General features: G+C 40.1%; 1 protein-coding gene and 1 pseudogene across 1 annotated transcript in view; one reads left to right on the top strand and one right to left on the bottom strand.

Annotated features, from left to right (window-relative positions):
- SLC26A3 (solute carrier family 26 member 3) overlaps nucleotides 1-12,827 on the bottom strand; it is a 37,755-nt gene extending 24,928 nt beyond the window's left edge. The window contains exons 1-5 of the mRNA NM_000111.3: nucleotides 12,715-12,827; nucleotides 3,983-4,201; nucleotides 3,346-3,485; nucleotides 1,434-1,544; nucleotides 652-839 (exon numbers count right to left, since the gene is read on the bottom strand). Coding sequence (NP_000102.1) covers nucleotides 652-839; nucleotides 1,434-1,544; nucleotides 3,346-3,485; nucleotides 3,983-4,113 — 570 coding nt within the window. The 5' untranslated portion in view covers nucleotides 4,114-4,201; nucleotides 12,715-12,827. The remainder of the gene's footprint in view (nucleotides 1-651; nucleotides 840-1,433; nucleotides 1,545-3,345; nucleotides 3,486-3,982; nucleotides 4,202-12,714) is intronic.
- On the top strand, nucleotides 18,337-19,395 carry PIGCP2 (phosphatidylinositol glycan anchor biosynthesis class C pseudogene 2; annotated as a pseudogene).

A 27,824-nucleotide genomic window follows, 5' to 3' on the forward strand; every position in this document is an offset into this window, starting at 1 on the left:
AATAAGACGCATGCTTATGTCCTTGTAGAAACTGACTTTTCCTTTCTTTAAGAAATGGTCTTAACCAATAATATCATTATCCATAAACTTAGGCAACATCTCAAAAAGTCCATGACATTTTCAGTATTCAGCAGGAGTGTCAGCATACGGCTTGGAAGTGAGACTTTAGGCTCCACCATAATCCTCGTCAGTTTTCCCCAAAATTGACATGAACAGTTCAAAGCCCCCATCCCTTCCAACTAGATTATAGTTGCTGAAGAATTAAAGAAAAAAATTCCAAAGCCACCAGTATGACGATTTCTTGTATACAGTTATGTTTCTTGACTCTATCAATTCCCAGATATGCTGTTTCTTGACTCTATCAATTCCCAGATATATGTTGAAGCATTTCGCTTGTCACTGTTTGTGCCTCTCCATTCCCCTTCTTCCTTCTGTCTAGACCCACATTCATTCGTTTTTGTACTGTTGACCCACTCCTCTCCCTCTGGTTGTGGTGAGTGACCCTTCGTACAGTATTTCCTATGGGCCATGAGGGAGAGACAAACCAAAGGGAAGATGGGGAGGAGTGGCAGGGGGGAGGAAAAATAGAGAGATGTGTAACAGTCAAGATGAACAGATTGAGGTGGGCAAGTTACATGAGAAGGTGCTCACCTGGATGATTCCAGAAAGCACTGTGACTGATGCCGCCGCCGCCACCCTCACCCTCTCGTCATCCAGTAGTGAAGAATTATTCGAGTTGTTAGGCAATCCCAAAGTAGTTGCATTGCGATCTGGGACTGCTTTTGAAACTGCTCCTGAAACTGCTAGTCCCACCATCATACTCAGAATCGGAAACGGACCTAATTAACAGTGGGTGAATCGTGGTCAGTATATGCCTCTCTAAAGCACATTGTCTTTCAACCACAGAATAAGACCATATAAAATGACTGGCAAGGCTGGGCGTGGTGGCTCACGCCTGTAATCCCAGCACTTTGGGAGGCCGAGGCGGGTGGATCACCTGAGGTCGGGAGTTTGAGACCAGCCTGACCAACATGGAGAAGCCTCGTCTCTACCAACAATACAAAAATTAGTCAGGCGTGATGGTGCATGCCTGTAATCCCAGCTACTTGGGAGGCTGAGGCAGGAGAATCGCTTGAACCTGGGAGGTGGAGGTTGCAGTGAGCTGAGATCGTGCCACTGCACTCCAACCTGGGCCACAAGAGCAAAACTCCGTCTCAAAAAATAAATAAAAATAAATAAATAAATAAATAAATAAATAAAATGGCTGCCATCTGTGACCCTGCCCTCCATCTCAAACCCTGGTCCTAATTCTCACAGGAGACCATGACTCTTCTCCTGGATTATGTGAAATTTGGAATTGATAGAAGGTATGGCTAATAAAATTCATAAGGAAAAAACAATGTGAGCATTAATCAGCTCAGTAACTGACTTACCCACGGATATGTGTCTGGAAGTGCCGAAGAAAAGGTAGATTATGGCTGGGAAAAAGGATGCATACAACCCATAGACTGGGGGAATGTCGACCAGCAGAGCAAATGCTAAACCTGTAAACACACAAGCAGCAGAGCCCTTACTCTGTGCAAGAGGAATCAAAGACATTCTCATTTGGTTCTTATGGTATTTAGAATTGGATCCTAAAAATAAGTTACCTCATTAATTCAAAATGTATTAAAGATGTAAATGTAAGAACTAAAACTATAAAACTTTTAGAAGAAAGCATAGGTATAAATCTTTGTGACCTGGATTTGTCAATGGTTTCTTAGAAATGACACCTATGGCATAAGCCAGCAGTCCCCAACCTTTTTGGCACCAGAGACTGGTTTTGTGGAAGGTAATTTTTCCACTGACTAGGGAAGGGGAGATGGTTTTGGGATGACTCAAGTGTATTACATTTTTTGTGCACTTTATTTCTATTATTATTACATTGTAATATTTAATGAAATAATTATACAATTCACCATAATGTAGAATCAGTGGGAGCCCTGAGCTTGTTTTCCTGCAACTAGATGGTTCCCTCTGGGGGTGTTGGGAGACCGTGACAGATCATTAGGCATTAGATTCTCATAAGGAGCATGCAACCTAGATCCCTTGCGTGCACAGTTCACGATAGGGTTTGCACTCCTATGAGAATATAATGTTGTCGCTGATCTAACAGGAGGTGGAGCTCAGGAGGTAAAGAGAGCAATAAGGAGCGGCTGTAAATACAGGTGAGGCTTCATTTGCTCACCTGCCACTCACCTCCTGCTGTGTGGCCCAGTTCTTAACAGGCCACGGACCTGTACTGGTCTGTGGCCCAGGGACTGGGGACCCCTGGCATAAGCACCCAATGAAAAATACAGATAGACTGGACTTAATCACAATTTAAAAACGTGTACTTCAAAGGATACTATCAAGAAAGTTAACCAATAATTCACAGAATAAAAAAGTTATCTGCAAATTGTATATCTGACAAGGGTCTGGTATCCAGAATATAGAAACAACACTTGCAACTCCACAACAAAAAGACAAATAACCCAATTTAAAAATGGATAAAAACTTTGAATAGACATGTTTCAAAAGATATACAAATGGCCAATAAACACCTGGAAAAAATATTCAATATTGTTAGTCATTAGAGAAATGCAAATGCAAACCACAATGAGATACCACTTCACACTCACTGGGATAGCTAAAAGAAAAAAGATGGACAATAACAAGTGTTGATGATATGGAGAAATCTGAACCCTCATACACTGCTAGTGGAAATGTAAAATGGTGTAGCTACTTTAGAAAATAAGTTAGCAGTTCCACAAATGATTAAATATAGAGTTACCCTATGATCCAGCAATTACAATCCTAGTGATATACCCAAGAAAATTGAAGCATGCTCACACAAATATTTGTACACAAATGTTCAAAATAGCATTACTCATAACTCATAATAGCCCCCAAGTGGAAACAACTCAAATGTTCATCAACCGATGAGCAGATAAAAAAATTGTGATATGTCCATACAACAGAATACTTATTTGTCCATAAAATGGAATGAAGTACCAATACATGCTACAATATGGATCAACCTTGAAAACATTACGGTGAGTGAAAGAAACCAGACACAAAGTGCCATGTATTGTATTATTTCATTTGCATGAAATATGCAGAAGAGGCAAATCCACAGAGAAAGGGTAGGGGGGATGTGAAGTTAATGGGTAAGGGATTTTTAGGGGTTGGTGGTGGTGAAAATGTTCCAGAATTAGATAGTGGTGACAGATGCACAACCTAGTGAATATACGAAAAGTCCCTGAGCTGTACACATTCAGAGGAAGAATTTTATTGTATATAAATTATACTTAAAAAAAATTTTACCTTGTAGTACGGCCACAATCCCTGTGCTGATACCAGAAACAATATCACTGAGCAACCATTCTTTAAGCCGGTATGCTGGCAACCAAGATGCTATGGGGAACAAAGAGAGGACAATTCTCTTGGCCTTTTGTGGGGAACAGCTGAAAACATGGAAAGCCACAGGTCAGTCAATTAATATCAAATTTTAAGTTTAGTACCTGTCGGTGGGAAATTGGTAAAGATGGTAATATGCTAAAGATTAAACTAGTAATTTCACTCCCAGTAACATTCTTTACCCATAATCAGCTGCCCTCTGGTCACCAACAAAGGATTTTTTAAAATGCTTGCTTTTCTTTAACCATAATAGACCTATTTGTCATCCTCAGCTCAAATCATGCAATATTTCAAATGAGAATTTTCCTCTGTCCCCATCTGTTAGTTGTCTGATTTGGAAAGACCGTGTTGATAAGCCGAGATGGGGTTCATTTTAGACACTACCTTTCCAACTCTGTCAGGGAGTAGGAGGTTTGGAAACTAAAGAGGAAAGGACTGTAGGCTGTGGACTAGAGCCAGAAAGGAGAGTTGGAAAGTTAGAAAATTTAGGGGAAAGTGCTTCAAAAATGTATTCCTAATGCCAATACCTTAAAAAATATCTTACCTACAACACACTTTGAGATGATCCAGAAATGTCTTATGATGTCTTCCTGTCTTTTTATGATTTTCCTCAAAAGCATTTGTAGAATACACTGGCCTGGCCACAATATACTGATTCCCAAAGGGTTCAATCATTTTGATTTTTCTGTTGGCTGTGGCAAGTTGAAGACCTTTGCAACTATGTGGTGAACACTTCTTCTTGCCTTTAGCAGGTTAAAAATGCCTGAAACCAAACAGAGCTTGCTTCTTAAATAACTCAGAGATAATGTGATGCAATTTACAGATGAGTGAGCTCCGAACTGAATGTTACCACCTTTTAAGATCAAAAAAGGCAGGATTAAGGGACCTAGATTGTGTTTTGCGACAGCGATGTTTTATTCCAGTGAGCTGGACGTGGCTCTTTTAGGTAAGTAAACAAGAGCTTTATTTTTTAATTTGCCAAAAAGTAACAAAATTGACTCAGTTTATGAATCAATTAGTCAATTTTTTACTTACAAGGCAAGATATTCTCATCAACTTTTTTTCCCAGAAATATTTCCAAAGTTAAGGCATTTAAGTGTTGGGACAGGTTAGATTTAAAGTTTTTTTATTGCCCCAACTCCAGTCCAGACTGTTCCAATTTACCCAACAGAATTTTAAAATTTGTTTTTTTTACCTTGTAAAATTAAAAAATTGTGAAATTCAAAGGTATTGCCTATTTCAGTTATTTCCTTATTGTTTCTGGGAGTTAGAGTTTTACAATTTATAGTTAAGGAAACTATGAAACAAACTAAATATTATTTGTTTACTTCATTTGTGAGTAATAAGGTCTTTTTAAAGGAATGATCCTGGGCAAGTTCCTTAACCTCTCTGAGCCTTGCCTGTATAATGGGGATAAAGATATTCAAGTTTCAGGTGATTGTGAAGATTAAATAAGGTTTCCAAAGCATCTGGTTTACATCCAACACACTATAGGCATTTACTAAATGGTAGTTATTATTTTGATTATTAGCATTTTTTACACAAAATGTTTAAGTTTTTAATTCTTATCTCAATCCTGTTTCTATTATGCTTAAAAGATCAATTTGACAAAATGTTTAAATGCACATTACCAAGTTAGCCTTCACAATTCTTTGAGGCAGTTACCCTTATTATTTTATTATTATTATTTTATTCTTACAAATGATAAAATAATCACACACACTCCAAACCCACACTAAATTGGAAATACTTTTTCTTGGGACATACAGCTTGTTAACATGGCAGAAATGGTACCTGCATTTTCAGACTTCTTTGCTCTCTTTTCTATGTCATGCAGCTTCTCTATTGTTCAATATAAACATAATCGAAGAACATTCCAACTAACTGCTAGCATTTTTTCCCTCTAATCTTGTTCTGTATTACTACTCATAATGCCCAAGTTTTGTTCCTCAGCTTCAATCACAGTGATTAATTGAATTATCTCACACTAGATAGTATCTTGTTACACCGTGCCCTCATATACCTTATGGGATTTTCAGCATGTTTGCAGAGCTCAAGTTATAACCAGGAATCAGATGCTGGCCTCTACTGCTGGCCCCACTTGACCTCTCTTTGATCACTCATTTTTCTCTCCCATCCCATTTTCTAGTTTCCTCTAAAGTCCTCTGTACTCACTTTTGACCACAATATACTGCTTCTGCCCCACATCTCTGGCTTGATCTCCAGAATTTGAGTTCCTTTGAGCTCAGTTATGACTCCCTTATTATTATTATTATTATTATTATTATTATTAGAGACAGGATCTCACTGTCGCTTGGGGTAGAGTGCAGTGGTGCAATCATAGCTCACTATGGCCTCTTAACTCCTAGGCTCAAGCGGTCCTCCTGTCTCCTGAGTAGCTGGGACTACAGGTGTGGCCCACCATGCCCTGCTAATTTTTAAAATATTTCAGTAGAGGCAGGGATCTTTCATATGTTGCCCAGGCTGGCCTCAAACTCCTAGGCTTAAGCAATCCTTCAACCTCAGCCTCCCAAGTTGCTGATAGGTGCACCACCAGGGCCTCGGTTATGACATTTAGATCCTCCTTTGCTATTCTTTCTGGGCCTCTCCTCCCCTGCCACTCCCAAGTGCTTGTTTTCTCTTTTGTTTCCATTCCCTCTTCCATCTCTCCACCCACACTTCAGGGGTCAAATCCCACTAACTAGACAGTACTTCCCATTGTCAGAAGAACTTGCTCACAAAGTGGAGGTGACTTGTGCATTGCTGTGCAGAGCATGGATTTTTGTCTTTTTTTGGCTGATTACCAACAACATGGTTGGGGCAATAATAATTAAGATCTAATCCATGGTCAATCACTTCTGACATCTTGGATTTCTCACAAAGGGTATCTGGAATATCTTATAAGAACAGCTTTAATCCTTTGAAGGAACCAACCTAGCCAACCTTAGGATGAAGAAGACTTCAGCACTGTGCATTTGTACTTCTGTCAGATGCTGCTATGGCCAGGAAAAAAAAAAAAGATTCTGCTCTTTGCTTGCTTTACTCATGCTTTCCTCAAGGAGTTCACAGAAATTTATTAGTTGTCTTCCCCAAAAAAGATCTTGAAGGTACTTTTATTCTTCTGGCTGTTGTATTTTTTTTATTTTAATTTTTTTTGCCGATGACAGTGATGGGAGAAATATAACTTCATTTCTAATCAGTTTCCTTCTCTGAGGATGGCTATGGCTGTCTCTTTAGTGGGCTTTCTTATACCTCCAGCTGGATCAAGAGCCTGAACTCTGGCTGTCCTGCCAGTAAAAGCCTCCTCCTCATACCCAAGCACTGCCTGCAAGGGCCCTGCTCAGGGTAGGAATCAGGGGAGCTTAAGAAATCTTTCCGGCCAGGCGCGGTGGCTTACGCCTGTAATCCCAGCACTTTGGGAGGCTGAAGCAGGAGGATCACTTGAGGTCAGGGGTTCAAGACCAACCTGGCCAACACAGTGAAAACTTGTCTCTACTAAAAATACAAAAATTAGCCAGGCGTGGTGGCGGGCACCTGTAATCTGAGTTACTCGGGAGGCTGAGACAGGAGAATTGCTTGAACCCGGGAGGCAGAGGTTGCAGTGAGCTGAGATCATGCCCCTGCACTCCAGCCTGGGTGACAGAGCGAGACTCCGTCTCAAAAAATAAAGAAAAGAAAAGAAATCTTTCCAGACTTTAGAGAGAAATCTTGAGGGCCACATTCCAGCCTTTCTGTTTTCCCCTTGCACCCATCCCCGCTTCCAAAAGCTATGCCTCCATGTGTAACATACAATGTGGGCCTCTGAATCAACTACCCCAATGGTGCCTCTGCTGAAGAGATGTTCCAGATAGTCATAAATTAATGACATTCTCCATGTCATCATTTCTGAGATTCTTGAGCAGGACCTTTTTTTTTTGAGACGGAGTCTTGCTCTGTCGCCCAGGCTGGAGTGTAGTGGCGAGATCTCGGCTCATCTTTAATTAGGAATTAAAAAGAGATTGTTTAAACTCTTTTTTCACCTGAACAAGTTACATTTTTGCCAGAAATTCTTGGAAAACACTTTTTTCTGGTTCCTGGAATCACAATTCCAATTTCAAATATTACGCCCATATTAATGTAAAAGCCTTTTCATGTTCTATCTTCATGGATCTCTGAGTTCCTTAGGGTGTCAGTGGATTTGGGGATTGAAATTCATTCACAGAGTCCCTTCCTCTTACTAATTATAGAATCCCAAGCCTTGTTTGTATATATTTCCACTTTTATTTGCTTCCCTACGACGTGCTTTTTATTATTTTTTTGGCCTTTATGATATATATATTACATACATAGACACACACATGAAGACATTCATATACCTACATATCTTGGTGCTGTGGCTTAGTCATACACGTTGTTGTTCTCTGCTTTTTTTTTTTCTTTTTGAGCAGAAATTTAATCCTGGGATTAATTTCTGAAGTTCAGTTTCTCAGTTTAACTATTCCCATGTATTAATAACTTTTTGATATTTCTAGGGATTGTCATGTACATACCTCCCCACCACTTCAAGTTCCACCCATTTCCAACCTGCAGACTGGCCTCCAGTTACGAGAACCTCCACTCTGCCTGCCCCGCTCTGCTGAGAAGTGTCTTTTGGCCCTGACCTTTCCACTCAGTGTTTATCTATTCTGTGTTTTAGTCTTTCAGAGGTCTGCCCTTTTTGCTGGGAAACAACTAATTTGAACCAAGATGCTGATGAGCGGTGCTAGGATTTGTCTTTAATTAGCGGTCATTTGAAACCAGCAGACAAGCAAGGGTGCAGAACACTTCCCAGCCCCTCCGCAGTCACATTAGATGCCTCCACTCTTGGACAAGGCAGCTCCTAGCAGCATCACCCCTTCATAGCTGTTCAAGCTGAGGAAGGCCTTCGATAGAGACATCACTGAAAATGCCACACTGTGCCTGAAATCTGCTGAAAACACAACTCACCTCATGGATCTCAAAATATCTCTGAGCCAGTCAGTGCAAAACCAGAGGTAAGCCAGCCCTATTTCATGAATTAGTCCTTGGACAATGGGAAATACAGCAGCGTCCTGATAACTATACTTGGGGGAGTGGGTGAGAGATGGGGGAACAAGCAGAATAATTGCTCCAGTGAGCACCTTCAGAGGGATCTCCATCGGCAGCCAGAGGAATCAGAAATCAAGCTCACAAAAAGCTCCACATTCTGGTTAGCGTGAGGCTGGATAGAAGCAGGGAGATGATGGCATCAGAATGGGAGAGGGCTGGAGTGGTGAATGGAGGGGAGGGGTCTCAGCACTGAGGTTGATTAAGAGAGCTCAGAAGGGGTCAAAGGCTGAGGTGGGCAATAATTGTTACTACTATTTTTCATCAATTCTATTACTACATTGCCGAAGATGCTGAAGAAGGAAGTCAAACCTAAATTAATCGGGAGGTACAACAGAAAAGAGTGAGACTTTGGCAACTAAGCACACCAGGTTTCAAATCCTTGCCTTGCCATATCTTAACTATGTTTGCTATAAGCCAGTGATTCAAGCCATCAATTTTCTTTTCTTTTCTTTTCTTTTTTTGAGACAGAGTCTTGCTCTGTCGCCCAGGGTGGAGGCTGGAGTGCAGTGGCGCGATTTCATTTCACTGCAAACTCCACCTTCTGGGTTCAAGTGATTCTCTTGCTTCAGCCTCCCGAGTAGCTGGGACTACAGGCACCCGTTACCATGCCCAGCTAAGTTTTTATATTTTTAGTAGAGATGGAGTTTCGCCATGTTGGCCAGGCTGGTCTCGAACTCCTGGCCTCAAGTGGTCTGCCTGCCTTGGCCTCCCAAAATGCTGGGATTACAGGCGTGAGCACCCGGCCCAAGGCTTCAATTTCCTTAAAGCAAAAGGAGGAGACCATTATTTTCCTTCTAGGGCTGTTCTTAAAACTGAAAGCAGGGTATACAAAGGGAGACTTCTTAGCCTTAAGTTCATAGGTAGCAGTCTCAGAAGTGAGTTAAATATTGACTGTTGGTGGAATTTACAACTGGTCCACAAAAGTCAGCTGGAACCTGTTGGAAAATGTTAGTGCTGCCAACTTTTCTATGACTTTATGTTTACTCTGAGCTTATCTTTAGAAGTAGCAGTTTTCCATTTTTATCCCAGTTTGTTTTAACATAGTTTTAAAATAATCTAGCTATCCGAGCTTCCTAGAATGACATACAAGGTCCTTCATGTTTTGGCTCTGGTCTATCTCACAAGCTTCTTCACTCCTCCTTCACAATTGCAGCAGGTTCCTAACACGCTATGATATTTAACAGTTCCGTATCTCTGTACACATGATTTCCTTTGTGTTCTTCTTCTCCAATACCTGGTAGATTCCAATTCATTCTTAAAAATACTCAGCACAGCTGGGTGCAGTGGCTCATGCCTGTAATTTTGGCACGTTGGGAGACTGAAGTGGGGAGATTGCTTGAGGCCAGGAGTTCAAGACCAGCCTGGCCAATATAAAGAAACCCTGTCTCTAAAACAAACAAACAAACAAAACACAACTCAGCTGACCATTGATTCATTTCTTCATTCCTTCAACAAACATGTATCAGCCTATTATTTGTCAGGAACTCAGTTCCTAACACAGTTGTAGAAGATAAGAAAATGATGTAAAGCCTTCATGGAATCCCTAGATAGAGTTGATCATTTCCTTCTTGTAAGTACCTTGTATATATGTCTATTCCATGTCATACATTATTTGTTTATGTTTCTGTTCCCTTTAAGACTGAGTTTCCCAAGGGCAAGGCCCAAATCTTAACCATTTTTCCCTCTTTTGTTAGGTCCTATGACATAGTAAGTATACAAGAAAGTTTGTTGAAATAAACTGAACTATGAGCAAAAGATATATAAATGACGTAGACCTAAACTCCAAAGTTTACATACACAGGAGAAGTGCCCAAAATAATTGGTGCAGATAATAAATTGGAAGAAGGGATGTAAATGTGGGTTGGAGTTAGGAAGGTTTTGTGAAGGAACTGTGAGTCTTGTGTTAGACTTTAAAGAACAGATAGGTTTGGCAGGGGTGATGACAAAGCAGTGGGCAATAAGCAAATCATGTGAAAGGTTATTGAGAGTTCCAAACACTGAAACAGAAGGCTTTGTTGGCCCATAGGCTAAACCATTAGAGAAATGTTGGGATGCACCATAGCAAGGGATTTCACACCCAGTAGGCTCACAGCAGGCAAAAGAGAATCCCTGGCCATTTCTGTAAGGCTTTGAGATTTTCTGAGCACTTTCACTTTTCTTCCTTGAGTATTACTGTGGATGGAGGCAGACAAGATAGGCTGTATTGTCGCTAATTTACAGATGAAGAAATGGAGATGAGAGAAGATAAATGACTTTCTCAACTTCCCAGAGCCAGGATGAGAAGCCACATCTAGTGAATAACTGACTCTCTCCACTACGTCTTCTTCTCTGCTACATATTCAATGTCAGGGGTCTCAGCCCCTACCCCCAAGAGAGACAAGGTAAAAGAACAAGGTGAGGCACCATCAGGGTCCTTGCTTTTGAGCATGAAAGCCTCACACTCCTACACTCAATATCCACAACACAAAACATGAGCCTGGTGGCCTGGGGACAAATCTCCTTGAGGTGACTTGCTTTATTCTTCCCCTTGCTTCTCAACAAAGTGACACAGAGGCTAGAGGAGCCTCTTCTCTTCTCTTTGGAGAATCAAAGACCTTTATTGTAGAGAAGCACCAGACTGTGTTATTACATATTTATTCTTGTAATTGAAAAATATTCATTCTCATTTTCTGAACGATTTTGTTTCTTAGTCGAATATGAGCTGTTTAGGAGGTATTAAACATTTGTTCATTTCTTTATATACTTACTTATTCCCTTATCCAGAGGGAGAAGGCAAAGTATGTATTGTGTTACCCCATTTTTCTTGTTTCTGAAATCAAATTAGTTGCTTCCTAAATTTTCATTAGGAATAATCCTTGGCCGGATGGGGTGGCACATGCCTGTAATCCTAGCACTTTGGGAGACTGAGGTGGGAGGATCACCTGAGGTCAGGAGTTCGAGACCAGCCTGGCCAACATGGCGAAACCCCGTCTCTACTGAAAATACAAAAAAAAAAAAAAAAAAATGCCAGGCACAGTGGAGCGTGCCTGTAGTATCAGCTACTTGGGGGGCTGAGGCAGGATAATCACTTGAACCTGGGAGGCAGAGGTTGCAGTGAGCAGAGATTGTGCCACTGCACTCCAGCCTGGGCGACAGAGTGAGAATCCGTCTCAGAAAAAAAAAAAAAAAAAGGAATGATCTTTATGCAGTCAAATTTCATGACACAGTTTTTCCAAATGACTAACTTACTTCAGAAAAGAGAATTATTTAGTCCAATAATTTGATAAATTGTTCCTCACTTGCATATATAAAGAAAGTTGTATAATCTTTTCCTGACATTTTAAAGAATAAAATAGATTTTATCTTGATAGAGTTAGTAATGTATGGGATAAGTACCCATACATTACTAATGTATTATATTATATTATACTACTTGTGGCATAGGGCATTCTGCTACTTTCCAGTGACCATTTTCTCCCCATCTCTCTTCTCTTTCCAGTCTCTATCCTTCTTACTCTCATTGCCTTTTCTTCTCTCCGTGTTTCCCTTAGTCTTGGACTTTCTAGGATGTCTAGCAGATAAATCTCTCACTTCTAGACCATATGTCCCCTACCCCCTCCCTTTTTTTTTAAGAGACAAGGTCTTGCCATGTTGCCTAGGCTGACCTCAAACTCTTGGGCTAAGCTATCCTCCTGCTTTAGCCTCTTGAGTAGCTAGGACTATAGATACATATCCCTATGCCTGGCTGGGACCAGATGGCCTTTCTGAATCCTTTCTAGTAGGTGATTCTCTCTCCTGGAGAAACTCTTTCCTTAAAGCTTGCTTTTTTTTTTTTTTTTTTTGCCAACCCTCAGAGCAGACAATCTATCTATAAAGTCAGATTTGAGTGGAGAATTAAAGGAATTATCTGAATAATTAAAACAAGAACACTAATATCTTTGAAAAGGCTATTTAAGACTTAATGATGCCTACAACCATTTACTTGTTAAAGTCTACTTAAATATTTATTCTACATTGCTAGCGCTCCAGACATACATGCATATCTTATTAGTGGATTCATTCAAAATATTCACACACATGGAATAAACTCAAGAACATAATAACTCCTAAATAGGCTTTGATCAGAAAAAATACCATTTTCAAGGAACAGAAAACCAGTTTGAATATAACAATCATAAATTTGGTTCCTACCTGACACATACTCTGTGAGGAGCTTCTGCAACAGTGGTACATTTTCAAGATAAAGTTCTAAGTTCTAGTTCTAAGAGGCAGTGTCCATCCACTCAGGTCTACAGGCTCTGTGTGCATCCATATGCATAGGGATGTCTATATATAGGCTATGTAAGACAGTGGACAAATTACCTTTCTGTCAGCTTTAATAATTAACTCTCATTAACTTTTACAACAATGAAAAGACTGCAATGTGGTCTTGACCTTTGAGACTTTGATCAGCAGAAGTGATGATGAAGATTGCTTCCTCAAGTTCCTTGTGAGATTAAACCACCAGTGGGTGGTTTAATGCACTTGTGTGTACGTAATTTCATTGGTTTGCAGAGATTGCACAGCAGATGCTCACGTGTACTTAAAAAAAAAAAGAATCTTCTCAAGGGTTATCTCCTTGACATTTCACCAACCTGTTTAGATGAGAGTTTAGTGGTGGTGTTTTTTGGCTGGATGACTCCATGGAATCTGTCATGGGCTGCAGAAGTGTGGTGTATAGGTTAACTCCTGGTATGATAAAGGCCCTCATTAGGAACACTCACCCAACTCCCAGCCACAGGCCATATCTGCATTCCAATTTCTGCCCCCACCACAGCTCTTCCTAAGAGCAATAAACCCTATGTTGCTAAACACAATGAATACTTTCAACTCTCATCTTACTTAAAAGCATTTGGCATTGCTGACTACACTTTCATGAACTCCTCTTTTTATTTTAAAAATTATTTAACTAATTAGTTAATTTTAGAGATGGGGTATTGCTGTGTTGCCCGGGCTGGTCTCAAACTCCTGGCCTGAAGTGATCCTCCTGCTTTAACCTCCTGAGTAGCTGGGATTAGAGGCCTCAGCCATCATGCCGGGCTAAAATCTTCTCTTCTTGAAATGCTAAAAAAAAATTTTTAACACACTTGTTTTTCACCTCATCCTTTTTGCCAATTTCTCCTCTAACTCTTTCTTTGGCATTTCCTAAGATTCTGTTCTGAATTTCCTTCTCCTCTCTTGCTACCCTCTTACCCTAAATAAGAGTCCTATGGCTCCCAGCAACATTCAGATTTCTAACCCCAGCTCTCTAGGTCCACATATTTAACTGCCTATTCCACATCTTTGCTTGGATGCCTCATAGGCATCTCAAACACGACACATATCGAGATTAAGACCTCTTGATCTTTCCTCCCAAATCTGCTCCATCTCTAGTCTTCCCCATTTCAGTAAAGAATATTCCCCTTTACTCATGTCAGAGACCTGGGAACCATCTCTGACACTTCTTCTTGCAGACCTTCTCCCCACCCGCAGCCAATCCATCCTTAAACCCTATTGAGCATGCCTCCAAAATACATCCCAAAGCCATCACTTTTCTTCATCTTCACTCTTACCTTTGCTGCACTTCTTGCTTCCTCTCGCAGCCCTCCCCATCTCTTTACCACTCATTAATCAGAATGATCTTTTCACACTAGTCCTCTTTGTGGGGCTGATGATTACACAGAGGGAAAACAGGCCTCCAAAGTCTTTGCATGATCTCCCCCTGCACAACTCTCCAACCTCATCTGACTCTGCTCTTACTTTTGTTTTCTCCACTCCCACCATGGTGGCCTCCTGTAGTCCCAAATTTGCCCACTCTTTGCAGACATCATTTTCTCTGCTTAAATGCACTTCTCTCTCTCTCTCGGTTTGGCTGTTACTTAGCTTCAACATCACTTTCTCAAGGAGAACCACTTTGACTTCCTAATCTCAATTAGCCCCTCTTGTGGCATTCTCTCAGAGTATTTTTTTAAGTCCCTTGGTTAATTTGCATGTACTTTTTAAAACATAGCATCATAATTTAAAAATACACAATTATTTACTTGGCTAATGTTTGGCTTTCTCATTAGAATGAAAGCCCCACACAGGCAGGGACTTTGGCGAATTCACTGCTGTATGCCCAGTACCTAGAATGAATCTACCACAGAACAATGACTCAATAAATAGTGGTTCAATGACAGTTCAATCAATGAATTATGTTTGCTATAAGACAATTCCAAAAGAATGTGGACAGGTCATTAGCGTTTGTTAGAAATTAATCTAACCTGTGTTTTTAAATCTGGCTCACACCTGTGCTAACTGCGTAACTGAATGAGCTGTGGTGCCACTTATCATGCTTTTATCAACATTAGCTAACTTTAATTAGTGTTTAGTATGGGCTGTAACTTTGCAATGTGTTTTATTGGGTTTATCCCATTTAATCCTCATAACAACCATAGATAGCTTAGTATTTTTATTCCTATTTTACAAATGAATAGATTGAGTTTTCACTTGTGGTGAAATCTCAATTTTTAATTTTTATTGGCTTTTATTGAAGCCAGCTAGAATCCAGAAAGCCTAACTTTGTCATGTCTTTACTGTATAATACTGCTTTTTATAATTTTAACAGATGTACAGAATATTTATTCAGAACCACTATACACTGATTAAATTTTGTATTTAGATGTGGTTGATGGAAGAACTGGAAAATATTGCACTTAAAGGTAGAGGCTCAGAATTATTGATCAGCATAAAAATGATTTATTTTAGAACAAATAAGAGAGTATTGCAAGATTGATGGATACAAGCTGAACAAAGGCAAATTATTACACGATATATATTACATAGTGTATAGCCTTCCTATATACTAATAATAACCATGTAGTAAATGTAATAAAAAGAAAGATATCATTGGTAATAGCAACAAAAGCTACAAAGATTAGTAGAAATAAATCCTTTTTGTTTTTTATTTTTAAGAGACAAGGTCTGGTTCTGTCACTAAGGCTGGAGTATAGTGGCTCAATCATAGCTTTCCGAAACCTTGAACTCCTGGGCTCAAGTGATCCTCCTGCCTCAGCCTCCCAAGTAGCTTAGACTACAGGCACATGCCACCACACCTGGCTAATTTAATTTATTTATTTGTTTTGAGATGGAGTCTCACTCTGTTGCCCAGGCTGGGGTGCAGTGGCTCGATCTCAGCCCACTGCAACCTCTGCCTCCTGGGTTCAAGCGATTCTCCTGCCTCAGCCTCCTGAGTAGCTGGGATTACAGGCACGCACCACCACGCCTGGCTAATTTTTGTATTTTTAGTAGAAATGGGGGTTTCACCATGTTGGTCAGGCTGGTCTTGAACTCTTGATCTCGTGATCTGCCCGCCTCAGCCTCCCAAAGTGCTGGGATTACAGGAGTAAATTTTTTAATTTTAATTTTATTTTGTAGAGATGGGTTTTTTCTATGTTGTCTAGGCTGGTCTCCAACTCCTGGCCTCAAGCTATCCTGCTACCTCGACCTCCCAAAGTGCTGGGATTACAGGCGCAAGCCACTGTGCCTAGCTGGAGTAAATCTTATCTAAAGATATATAATGATGAACTTTATAGAGATAATTAGAAAACATTATTAAAGGACAAAAACAAAACCTAAGAAAAATATAGCCGGGTGCGGTGGCTCACGCCTGTAATCCCAGCATGTTGGCAGGCCGAGGTGGGCAGACCACGAGATCAGGAGATCGAGACCATCCTGGCTAACACGGTGAAACCCAGTCTCTACTAAAAAATACAAAAAATTAGCCGGGCGTGGTGGTGGCAGGCGCCTGTAGTCCCAGCTAAGCAGGAGGCTGAGGCAGGAGAATGGCGTGAACCCGGGAGGCGGAGCTTGCAGTGAGCCGAGATCGCACCTCTCCACTCCAGCCTGGGCGACAGAGCGAGACTCCGTCTCAAAAACAAAAAAAAAAAAAGAAAAAGAAAAAAAGAAAAATATGAAGCCATAAATCTTCATGAGTGTGAAAGTTCAATATCATATAGATGTTTTCTTCAAATTAATCTATTACATAAATGCTATTACAATGAAAAAGCTTTTCTTTTTTTTTTTTCATAGAACTGGACAAACTTGGCCTAAAACTTGTATGGAAGAACAAAGGGCCAAGAAAAGTCAAGACGTCAAGACAATTTTTGAAATTGATGCATAATAATTGTATATATTTATGGGATATATGTGATATTTTGATATATGCATACAATGTGTAATGATCAAATCAGGGTAATAATGATATCTATCACCTCAAACATTTATCATTTCTCTGTTTTGGGAACATTCCAAATTTTCTCTTCTAGCTATTTTGAACTATACAATAATTTATTGTTAACTACAGCCACCCTACTGTGTTATGAAACACTAGAACTTATCCCTTCCATCTAACTGCACGTTTGTATCCATTAATCAACAGCTCTCCATCCCCACTCCCTGCTACTTTTCCCAGCCTGTGGGTAGCCATCTTTCTACTTTCTCTCTCTATGAGATCCACTTTTTTGGCTCCCACGTATTAGTGAGAACATGCAACATTTGTTGACAACTTTGAAGAAGAAAAAATGGGGAAACATTTTGCAGATATAAAGACTTATTATCAAGCTATAGTAATTATGGCAGTTATATGTTTGTGCTGTGGGAAATAAATATACCAATGGAACAGGACAGAAAGCCTAGAAACATGTATTGAAACTTGATATATAATAGAGGTTACGTGGCATTAGAGAAAAGATGGACTATTCAATAAATGGTGCTGAGACAACTGGCTATCCATGTAGAACAAATAAAATTTAGATCTCTATTTCACAGCAATCACACACACATTTTTTCAATTGACCAAAGGCCTAAATAGAAAAGGTAAAATTTTAAACTTTTAGAAGAAAAAGTATGCTGTTATAACCTTGGAATAAAAGTATTTCTTCAACAAGTCACATAAATGTGCATATCATAAAGGAAACGACTGACAAATCCATCTTTATTAAAATTAAAACATGGAAGACACCACAACAAAAGTGAAGACAAGCTCTAGACTGAACAAGGTATTTGCCCAGTTAAGTCTTAGAAAAGATTAATATCCAGAAGATATCAAGAACTCCTACAAATCAATAAACAAAAGGCAAAATTCACAGAAAACCTGAAGTGCCAATTAACATATGAAAATATGTTCAAGTTCACTAGTAATCAGGGAAAAGTAAGTACAACCATATACATTTCACATCCATCATTAGCAGGGCTGTAACTAGCTTCAGTGGAGCATGAAGATTATGCAATTTGTGGATGTCGTTTTAAGAAAAAGATTACAAATTTTCACATATAAAATTAACTACAGGGCCTTTGAAGGGGCCCATGCAAATGAAAGGTCCTGAAGCCTAAACCGCATTTGCTTTATGGTAAATCTGCTTTTGTCTATCAGATGGTAAAAATGAAATGCCTGAAAATACCAAGTGTCACAGAGGCTGTGGAGCAATAGGAACACTTATACTATCGTTGTGAGTTGTAAATTGGGGCAGTCATTTCCGATAGCAGCGTGTGACTGTCTTGTCAAATTGAAGATATATATCTTCTAAGACCTGGCAATTCCACTAGTATGTATCCTTAACAAACATTGACTCATGTTAATGAATATTTCTAGCATATATAAATATGCAATATTTATAATAGCAAAAAAAGAAAATAAGTATCCTTAATCCACTAGATAGTCTGGTTGATAGTCTACTGACCTTATAAATAGCCTAATATCTTTTATCTGCTATCTACTCTTCATTAATAGGACAGTAGACAGTGCATAAAGAAATCATGCCAACCTGTAACTAACACTAAGGAGGGCAAGTGGCAGAAGCCCTTATGTGAGTGACAGCCCTTCCCTGATAATTATGTGGACCTGAAAGAGCTGTACTCAGAAATACCAATATTGGACTGGGGTATTTGAGTTGAGTGTGGTGATCCATCAGCTGCGTGGTGTCTATGTTTTTGTGGTTATCTGATGTTACATGGACAAAGGGTTTCTGGGTTTCTGGTCTCCCACTGGACTTCTGGGACTGGCCTGGCTTCTTCACTGACTGCATATGTTTTATTTGATCTTGATTAGAGGTGAAGGGTGGAAGTAGAGTGGGCATGTCCGGTGGGCTGACTTGAAGAGCCTGTAGTCTTCATTACTTTCATCTATGGCTGTTTGCTAGTGTCGAAGACCCTGACAGTCTGTCAGCACTGACACCATCTGTGCTGTGTTAGTCTTCACGCTGTTAGGCCACCTCATCTGCTTTCACTGTGGCACCAATGCTGCCGTTGTAGCCATCACATTGTCCTTGAACACGGCCATCATTGCTTCTGTCTGCCTGTCCTCATGCCTTCCCTGGTCCCTGTATGCCTTCATCATGGTGACATTTGCCATCCAGATTTTTGCCCCATGGCCCATGTTACAGGAGAAACTGAAGGCATGTGCTCTCCCCAGCTGTGTGGGTGTCACACTGCTCTTTGAGTTTTCAGCCTTGAGAGGCCTGCGGTCCTATAGTGCATGGAGTCATCCTCTTCGTCCTTCTCTAGTTTCTATCTCATGTCTCTGTCCTTTCTACCTCATTCACCTGCAGCTTTTTAAAGAAACCAGTCATGGGCCTTAGGATGAAGTTGAAATCAAATTCTTGTCCAGGTGCCTCAGCTAAGTTAGGTACCTCCATTACATTATGAAGGCAAGTTGATGGACTAGCATCTTAGCTCGTGTAAAAGTTAAAGGCAAAGTTCTATTTTGGAAGCAGCATGCCAATGTGGATGAGAGAACAGGGATCAAAGGAAAAAATTAACCAAAGGCTTGGGTGCTTACCTTTTCTGTTATTTTGTGGGATGAGAAAGCTTTTTGGGTCCCTTTTGAATTATTGTGTCTCATTTATTATTTGCTGTAACAAATGAAGTGATGTGGTTTCTATTAAAAAATAACAGTACAGGCCAGGCGTGGTGGCTCACACCTGTAATCCCAGCACTTTGGGAGGCCAAGGCGGGTGGATTGCTTGGGCACAGGAGTTTGAGATCAGTCCAGTTTGAGACCCTCATCTCTACAAAAAATTTTAAAAATTAGCTGGGCGTGTTGGCACACGCCTGTCATCCCAGCCACTCAGGAGGCTGAGGTGGGAGGATGGTTTGAGCCCAGGAGATGGAGGTTGCAATACATTAAAACAAAAACAAAAACAAAACAAAGGTTGAATTCATAAAAACAGAGAATAAAGTGGTGGTTTACAGAGTCTGGGTGTATAAACTTTCAGTTATAAGATGAATGAATTGTTGTGATCTGTTGTATAGCACAGTGACTGCAGTTAATTATACTGTATTGTATACTTGAAATTTGCTGAGACAGTAGCTCTTAAGTGTTCTCACCATATATGTACACAGAAAAGGTAACTGTGAGGTGATAGAGGTGTTCATTAGCTTCATTGTGGTAGTCATTTCATAATGTGTACACGTATCAAATCATTGTACCCATACACTTATCAAAAAAAAGAAAGAAATGAGGAGTTTCTATTTTTGTTCCAATAAATGAAAAAATAAAAACATGCAAAAATGCTTGATTCATAGATATATAGCAAATGTATAAAAATAAGCAATGAAATGATAGATAAGAAATTAAGGATAGTGGTTACTTCCATGGAGAGAGGGAAGTTTACTGGCAGGACTATGAAAGGGGCTTCAAGTGTATCTGTAATATTTTATTTCTTTTTGTTACTCCAGATTTAAACAAACTTTTGAGATATATATTAATTTCCTAGGGTTGCCATAACAAAGTATCACAAACTGGGTGACTTCAAACAATAGACATTTATTCTATAGTTTCAGAGACTAGAGCTCCAAAATCAAGGTGTCAGCAAGGCCACACCCCCAGCAGACACTGAGTGGAATCCCTGATTGGCTCTTTCTAGTTCCTGGTGATCACTTCTTAGCATTCCTCATCTTGCAGCTGTGTCACTTGAGTCTCTGCCCCTGTCATTGCGTGGCATCCTCACGGTATATCTTTGTCTTTCCCCTTCTTGTAAGGACATTAGTCACTTTGGGTTAAGGGCCTATCCCACTCGCTAGTATAACCTCATCTTTACTAATTATATCTGCAATGACCCTATTTCCAAATAAAGGCTTTCTGAGGTACTGGGGATTAGAACTTCATCATATCTTTTTGGGGAACACAGTTCAATCCATAACAAGGTATAATTTACATGCAGTGATACATATAGATCTTGAATGTACCTTTTGATGAGTTTTGACAAATGCATATACCTATGTGTGTTAGTTCTCTATTGATCCTGTAATAAATTATCACAAATGTAATAACTTAAAACATCACAAATTTATTATCTTACACTTCTGCAGGTCAGAAGCCTGATATGAATCTCACTGGACTAAAATCAAGGTGTTGACAGGGCTGTGTTCCTTTCTGGGGGCTCTGAAGGAGAATCTATTTCCTGGTCTCTTCTAATTTCTAGAGACCACCCACATTCCTTGGCTCATGACCCCTTCCTGCATCTTCAACACCAGCAATATTGTATCTTTTTGCCCTTTTTGTCTGATACCATTCTCTCTGCCCACAGCCAGGGAAAAGTCTGTACTTTAAGGGCTCATATGGCTAGATTAGACCCACCCAGATAATCTCCCCATCTTAAAGTCCTTAATTTATTTATTTATTTATTTATTTTTGAGACAGTCTCGCTCTGTCGCCCAGGCTGGAGTGCAGTGGCACGATCTCGGCTCACTGCAACTTCCACTTCCTGGGTTCAAGCAATTCTTCTGCCTCAGCCTCCCGAGTAGCTTGGACTACAGGCATGCACCACCATGCCTGACTAATTTTTGTATTTTTAGTAGAAATGGGGTTTCACCATATTGGCCAGGCTGGTCTCAAACTCCTGACCTCGTGATCTGCCTGCCTCAGCCTCCCAAAGTGCTGGGATTACAGGCGTGAGCCACTGCGCCCAGCAAAGTCCTTAACCTTTATCACATCTGCAAAGTCTTTTTTGCCATACAAGGTAGCATATTCTCAGGTTTGGAGTATTAGGATGTGGGCATCTTTGGGAGCCATTATTCTGCCTACCACATCGTGTAACACTCACCCTCCCGCAGTGGAGAATGTTCCTCTCTGAAAATTCCTTCGTGCTTCTTCTCAGTTCTTCACAGCCAACTGCCAGAGGCAACTTCTGTTCTGATTTCTATCATCTTTCATTAGTTTGGCCTGTTCTAGAACTTCATACAAATGGGACGTACAGTATGTTCCCTTTTGTGCCTGGCTGCTATCTCACAGCACAGTGTTTTTGAGGTGCATCTATACTGTTATGTGTATTAGTTGCCCATTCTTTTTATTGTTGAATAGTATTCCATTAGTATGAATATGACAAACTCTGTTTATACAATGTCTTGTTAATGAACGTTTGGATTGTTTCCAATTTGGAGCTATTACAAACTTTCTTATAAAAGTCTTTTGTGAACATATTTTTATTTCTCTTGGGTCCTGGGAGGATTGCTGAGTCGTGGCATAGAAATACATTTAACTTTATATGAAACTGCTAAATAATTTTTGAAAAGTGGTTTTACCGATTAAAATTCCTACACTCAACATATGAGAGTTCCAGTTGCTCCTATCCTTGCCACAATTTAGCTCTATCAGTCTTTTCAGTTTTAGCCGTTATGATGGGTGTTCATTTTACTTCTTTAAAAAAAAAAAAAGCAAAAACTTTTCCTCAAACACCAAAATGAGGAATATCCTTTAAAAGTTTAGCCCAAGTTTCATGGAGTTAAAGCTTTGGTAGTATATGTTACTCAACTATATTTAAAGCCATTGTATGATTATAACTTAGTAGCACACTTAATAATTTAATATTTAAGGCTTAATACAACAAATGTATTGACTTACCTCTATATCCTAGAAAAAAGTTCTTTTTTTTAGCTTGTCGCACTTTATCCCTGTAATTGACATTATACCTTGTATTAAATACTCTTGGTTTCTCACCATTCTCCCACTTCTTGGAGATGGACTGTGTTTATTTATATATCTTTCTGTCCCACGTGCCTAGCATAGTGCTGGGCACACAGCCAGTGCTCAATAAGGTTGTTGAGTCAATAAACAAATAAGCAAGCATATTAATTTAAAGCATAAATATGAAAGACTAGAATCACCAATCTTTCTTTTAAAAGATTTCAAATTTATACTGAAATCTTAATGTGACCCCATTTACAAATTTGGATTGAGGTAAAAAAATCCTGTTTTATTCTGTTCTTCCATTTCTGGTGGAAGGAAGTGTACTTAATTTTTTCTTTTTCTTTTTTTTTTTTTTTGAGACTGAGTCTTGCTCTGTCACTCAGGCTGGAGTGCAGTGGCGTGATCTCGGCTCACTGCAACCTCTGCCTGCATGGTTCAAGTGATTCTACTGCCTCAGCATCTCCGAGTAGCTAGGATTACAGGCATGTGCCACCATGCCTGGATAATTTTTTGTATTTTCAGTAGAGACAGGGTTTCACCGTGTTGGCCAGGCTGGTCCCGAACTCCTGACCTCAGATGGTCCTCCTGCCTTGGCCTCTCAAAGTACTGGAATTACAGGTGTAAGCCACTGCTCCTGGGCTAATTTTTGTATTTTTAGTAGAGATGGGGTATTGCCGTGTTGGCCAGGCTGGTCTTGAACTCCTGACCTCAGGTAGTCTGCCTGCCTGGGCTCCCAAAGTGCTGGGATTATAGGCGTGAGCCACCATGCCCAGCCTGGATGTGTACTCAATTTAAGAAGAAAATTAGCACTTGTTTAAAAAAGGGGATTTTGGAGGTCCATTCATGTTCTCCCAAGCCATCAAGTTTTCCACCCACGGGGTTGTTCCAGATGTGATAGCACATTACTCATATCACTTTTGAGAGGGGTATTTTCATATTTAGTAGTGTGGTATCACCCTACTCTATAGCCTGAAAGGCATGGCCTCTTGGCTGTGCTGAATTTTACTAGAAGAATCTCTGGATAAAATTTTCCTGACTGAAACTCATCTAAAGGTAACAGAAGTGCCTGTCTGGGCACCCCCAGGGATATGTGGTTAGAATTCAGGGTATCTATTAAAGCTCTACAAAAGACATGTGTGTGCATGTTTGTGTGTCGGAGGGTGGGGTGGGCATGCAAATGTGAATTTTTCAGGGGAAAGTGTCCATAGTTTTCATCAGACTTGCATATGTGAAGAAATATGAAGAGTTATAGAGTAAAAGTTAAGAAACTTAATATTGTGGCTAGCCTGACTGGCCAATTATGACAATTTGTGTGTAACAATTAGTGGACTACATTTAAATAATGAGCTTGGTTTTCCTTCTCCTGAGTTGACCAGTCAGTGTTTGACTGCAGGTGCATCCCCAAACATCATTGACAAAATGGGCAGAAATTACACTGGGAGGCAAATCTCTTGGTCATGGAGGGAACAAAACTTCACCTCCCCTAGACTTACTATTATGCCTTGACTTCAAATCATACTGATTTTTTTTAATAGACTCCAGGCTTCATTTTCAAGGACCCAGTGTGTCCATTCAGAGCATCTCTTTCTGTTTCCCTGTTAAGTTGGAAATGAGACAGTTATTCTTTTGTTTGTTTGTTTGTTTGTTTTTGTTTTGAGACAGAGTCCCGCTCTGTCGCCCAGGCTGGAGTGCAATGGAGCCATCTCGGCTCACTGCAACCTCCAACTCCTGGGTTCAAGCGATTCTCTTGCCTCAGCCTCCCGAGTAGCTGGGATTAGAGGTGACTGCCATCACGCCCGGCTAATTTTTTTGTATTTTTAGTAGAAATGAGGTTTCATCATGTTGGCCAGGCTGGCCTCGAACTCCTGACCTCAGGTGATCCACCTGCCTCGGCCTCCCAAAGTGCTGGAATTACAGGCATGAGCCACTGCACCCGGCCAAGACGGTTATTATTATATACTTCATAAAGATTGACCCCAAAAGGAGTCTAACGCAGCAAATATATAATCCCTAAATTTAATATGAATTTCTACTAATCCCTCTCAGTGTCAAGATGAGTCCAGAGCCAGCCACTATGGTGTGTGCCTGTAGCCCCAACTGTTTGGAAGGCTGAGGTGGGAGGATCACTTGAGCGCAGAGGGTTTGAGGATGTAGTGCACTATAATTACACCTTTGAATAGCCACTGCAGTCCAGCCTGGGCATCACAGCAAGATCCTATCTCTTAAAAAACTAAAACAGCAGCAGCAACACCACCACCACCACAAAGATGAGTCCAGAGACATCAGATGAAAACTCATATTTTAGAATAGAGAGCAAAAAGTAAAATCAACGAGTAATCACCAGTCGGAAACAAATTATATTTTCTGATGTCTTTTATCTTGGTCAAACTTTAGTCTTGAGAGTACAAAAGGAAGACAAGAAATAATCCTGTAGAATACAATTATAAGGCATTCTTCTTCCATTGGAAGAGCTTGGATTGGAGAGGCATAGTGGAGTTGAAGTCATCTTCACATATATATGGAGGGTGTGGGTGGTTGAGGAAGGGAGTGGGAGACGATGCTAAGACACTGGCAGGAAGTACACTTTGCACAGTCTTGACATTAGTCACCTAGGGTTCATGATTCTCATTCCAAGAATAAGTCATGATTTCTTTATTGCTTCTTATTTCAGTTCATTTTATTATGTGTAGCAGTATGAATAGACTTCTTACAGCAATATTGGAATAAAGATTAAATTTTATATGTTTAAATGTAACACGATAACCTTTTATCCTCAACCTTTCAGGCCTCCCTTGCATTGCTAGAGTCTTCATTTTAAAGGTGCAACTGCTAGTAAAACAATGGGTGTGCAGGGTACATTGGGATGGGATGGTGAGAATGGTCATTTCAAAACTACCCTCCATTTTATTGCCAGCATTATTTAACATTCTGGAAATGGGCCAACTTCGTCTCTGGAAAAATTTAAAGAGCTTAGCTGGGTTTCTCATCTGTCGTGTTGTGGTGGAATTTTCTAATAAATAGCAAAGGTTTCAACCATAGATGTGGCTCACATGAGTTCCAACATATGGATAATAAAACTGAATAAACCTGTTTTCATTTATCTGACAAAGCAAATAACTTCTTTTTTGGTTATTTTCCTAGTTCTTGATGCAACATGTGACACGTCTCACTTCCTGGACTCTCCTCTTTTGCCTTCTGTAATCTTAAGTTTCTCCGAATTTTCCTAGGCCTTATAGTTTCCTTATAGCTGATTCATCTTCTTCTTTCTGTCATCACTTCTCATCCCCAGAGCTTAGTTTTGTTCCTCTGCTCTTTTCACTGTACACTTACTCTTTTAGAACACTTTAGTTTTTCATGGGCATGATTCCAAAATCAACATCTATATTCCTCCTTGTTCATTCAAATGTAGATCCTATACTTCTAACTACCTACAAGAATGCTCTTTGTAAGTGACCTTGCAGCTCCTCAAACTCAAAAAACATTTCATGCAGCAACTTAAAACAATGTAGTCACATTATTCATGTGTCAGTTTGGCAAGATGAATTAGTTTGAAAATACACATTCTGGCTGGGTGCTGTGGCTCACGCCTGTAATCCCAGCATTTGGGAGGCCAAGGCGGGCAGAAGACCTGAGGTCAGGAGTTCAAGATCAGCCTGGCCAACATGGCGAAACTCCGTCTGTACTAAAAATACAAAAATTAGCTGAGTGTGATGGCAGGCGCCTGTAATCCTCGCTACTTGGGAGGCTAAGGCAAGAGAATCACTTGAACCTGTGAGGCAGAGGTTGCAGCAAGCCAAGATCACAACACTGCACTCCAGCCTGGGTGACAGAGTGAGACTCCATTTCCAAAAGAATAAATAAAATAAAAGTAATAAAATAAAATAATAAAAGTGTGGAGAATAAGGCCCCCCTGTGTTCTGTAGGTATGGCTATTTGTTAGTATGTTTATTTGGTAATATTTATTAACATTTAAAAGACATTTATTAAAATTTAAAAGAAATTATTTGACCTAACTCTTCCATTTATTTTATTTAATTAATTAATTAATTTCTTTGAGATGGGGTTTCACTCTCGTTACCCAGGCTGAAGTACAGCGGCGCAATCTCGGCTCACCACAACCTCCGCCTCCTGGGTTCAAGCAATTCTCCTGCCTCAGCCTCCCAAGTAGCTGGGACTACAGGCGCCTGCCACCACGCCTGGCTAATTTTTTGTATTTTTAGTAGAGACAAGGTTTCATTATTTTGGCCAGGCTGCTAGTCTAGAACTCCTGACCTCGGGGATCTACCCACCTCGTCCTCCCAAAGTGCTGGGATTACAGGCGTGAGCCACCGCACCCGGCCAGCTCTGCCATTAATATGAATTTCTCTCAGAAATACATGTTCATAGGCCAGGCACGGTGGCTCACACCTGTAATCCCAGCACTTTGGGAGGCTGAGGTGGGCAGATCATGAGATCAGGAGTTCGAGACCAGTCTGGGCAACATAGTGAAACCCTGTCTCTTCTAAAAATACAAAAAATTAGCTGGGTGTGGTGGTGTGTGTCTGTAATCCCAGCTACTTGGGAGGCTGAGGCAGGAGAATTCCTTGAACCTGGGAGGCGGAGGTTGCAGTGAACCGAGATCACACCATTGTACTCCAGCCCGGGGGACAGTGGGAGCGAGACTTCGTCTCAAAAAAAAAAAAAAAAAAAAAAAAGAAATACATGTTCATAAATATGTTTTAAAATTGCATATAACACTACCCAAATAAATTGGCAGATTCAGTGCAATCTTGATCAAAATATCAATGACATTCTTCACAGAAATAGAAAAAAAACCTTAAAATTTGTATAGAACCCAAAAAGATCCCAAACAGCCAAAGAAATCCTGAGAAAAAAAAAGAACAAAGCTGAAGGCGTCACACTACTAGACTTCAAAATATGCTACAAACCTATAATAACCAAAACAGCAGGGTACTGGCATAAAAACAGACACATAGTCCAATGGAAAAGAATAGACAACCTATAAGTGAATCCATACAGCCAACTGATTTTTGATAAAGGCACCAAGAACACTCATTGGAGGAAAGGACAGTCTCTTCAATAAATGGTGCTGGGAAAACTGGATATTCATATATGCAGAAGGATGAAACTAGGCACTCATCTCTCATCATATACAAAAATCAACTAAAAAGGATCAAATACCTAAACGTAAGAGCTGAAGCCATTAAAATACTAGGAGAAAATACAGGGGAGACGCCTGAGGATATTGGTTTGGGAAAAGATTTTATGAATAAGACCTCAAAAGCACAGGCAACAGAAGCAAAAATAAACAAATGGGATTATATAAAATGAAGAAGCT

Source organism: Homo sapiens, chromosome 7 (assembly GCF_000001405.40).
Source record: "Homo sapiens chromosome 7, GRCh38.p14 Primary Assembly".
In the NCBI taxonomy this organism is placed as follows: Eukaryota; Metazoa; Chordata; class Mammalia; order Primates; family Hominidae; genus Homo; species Homo sapiens.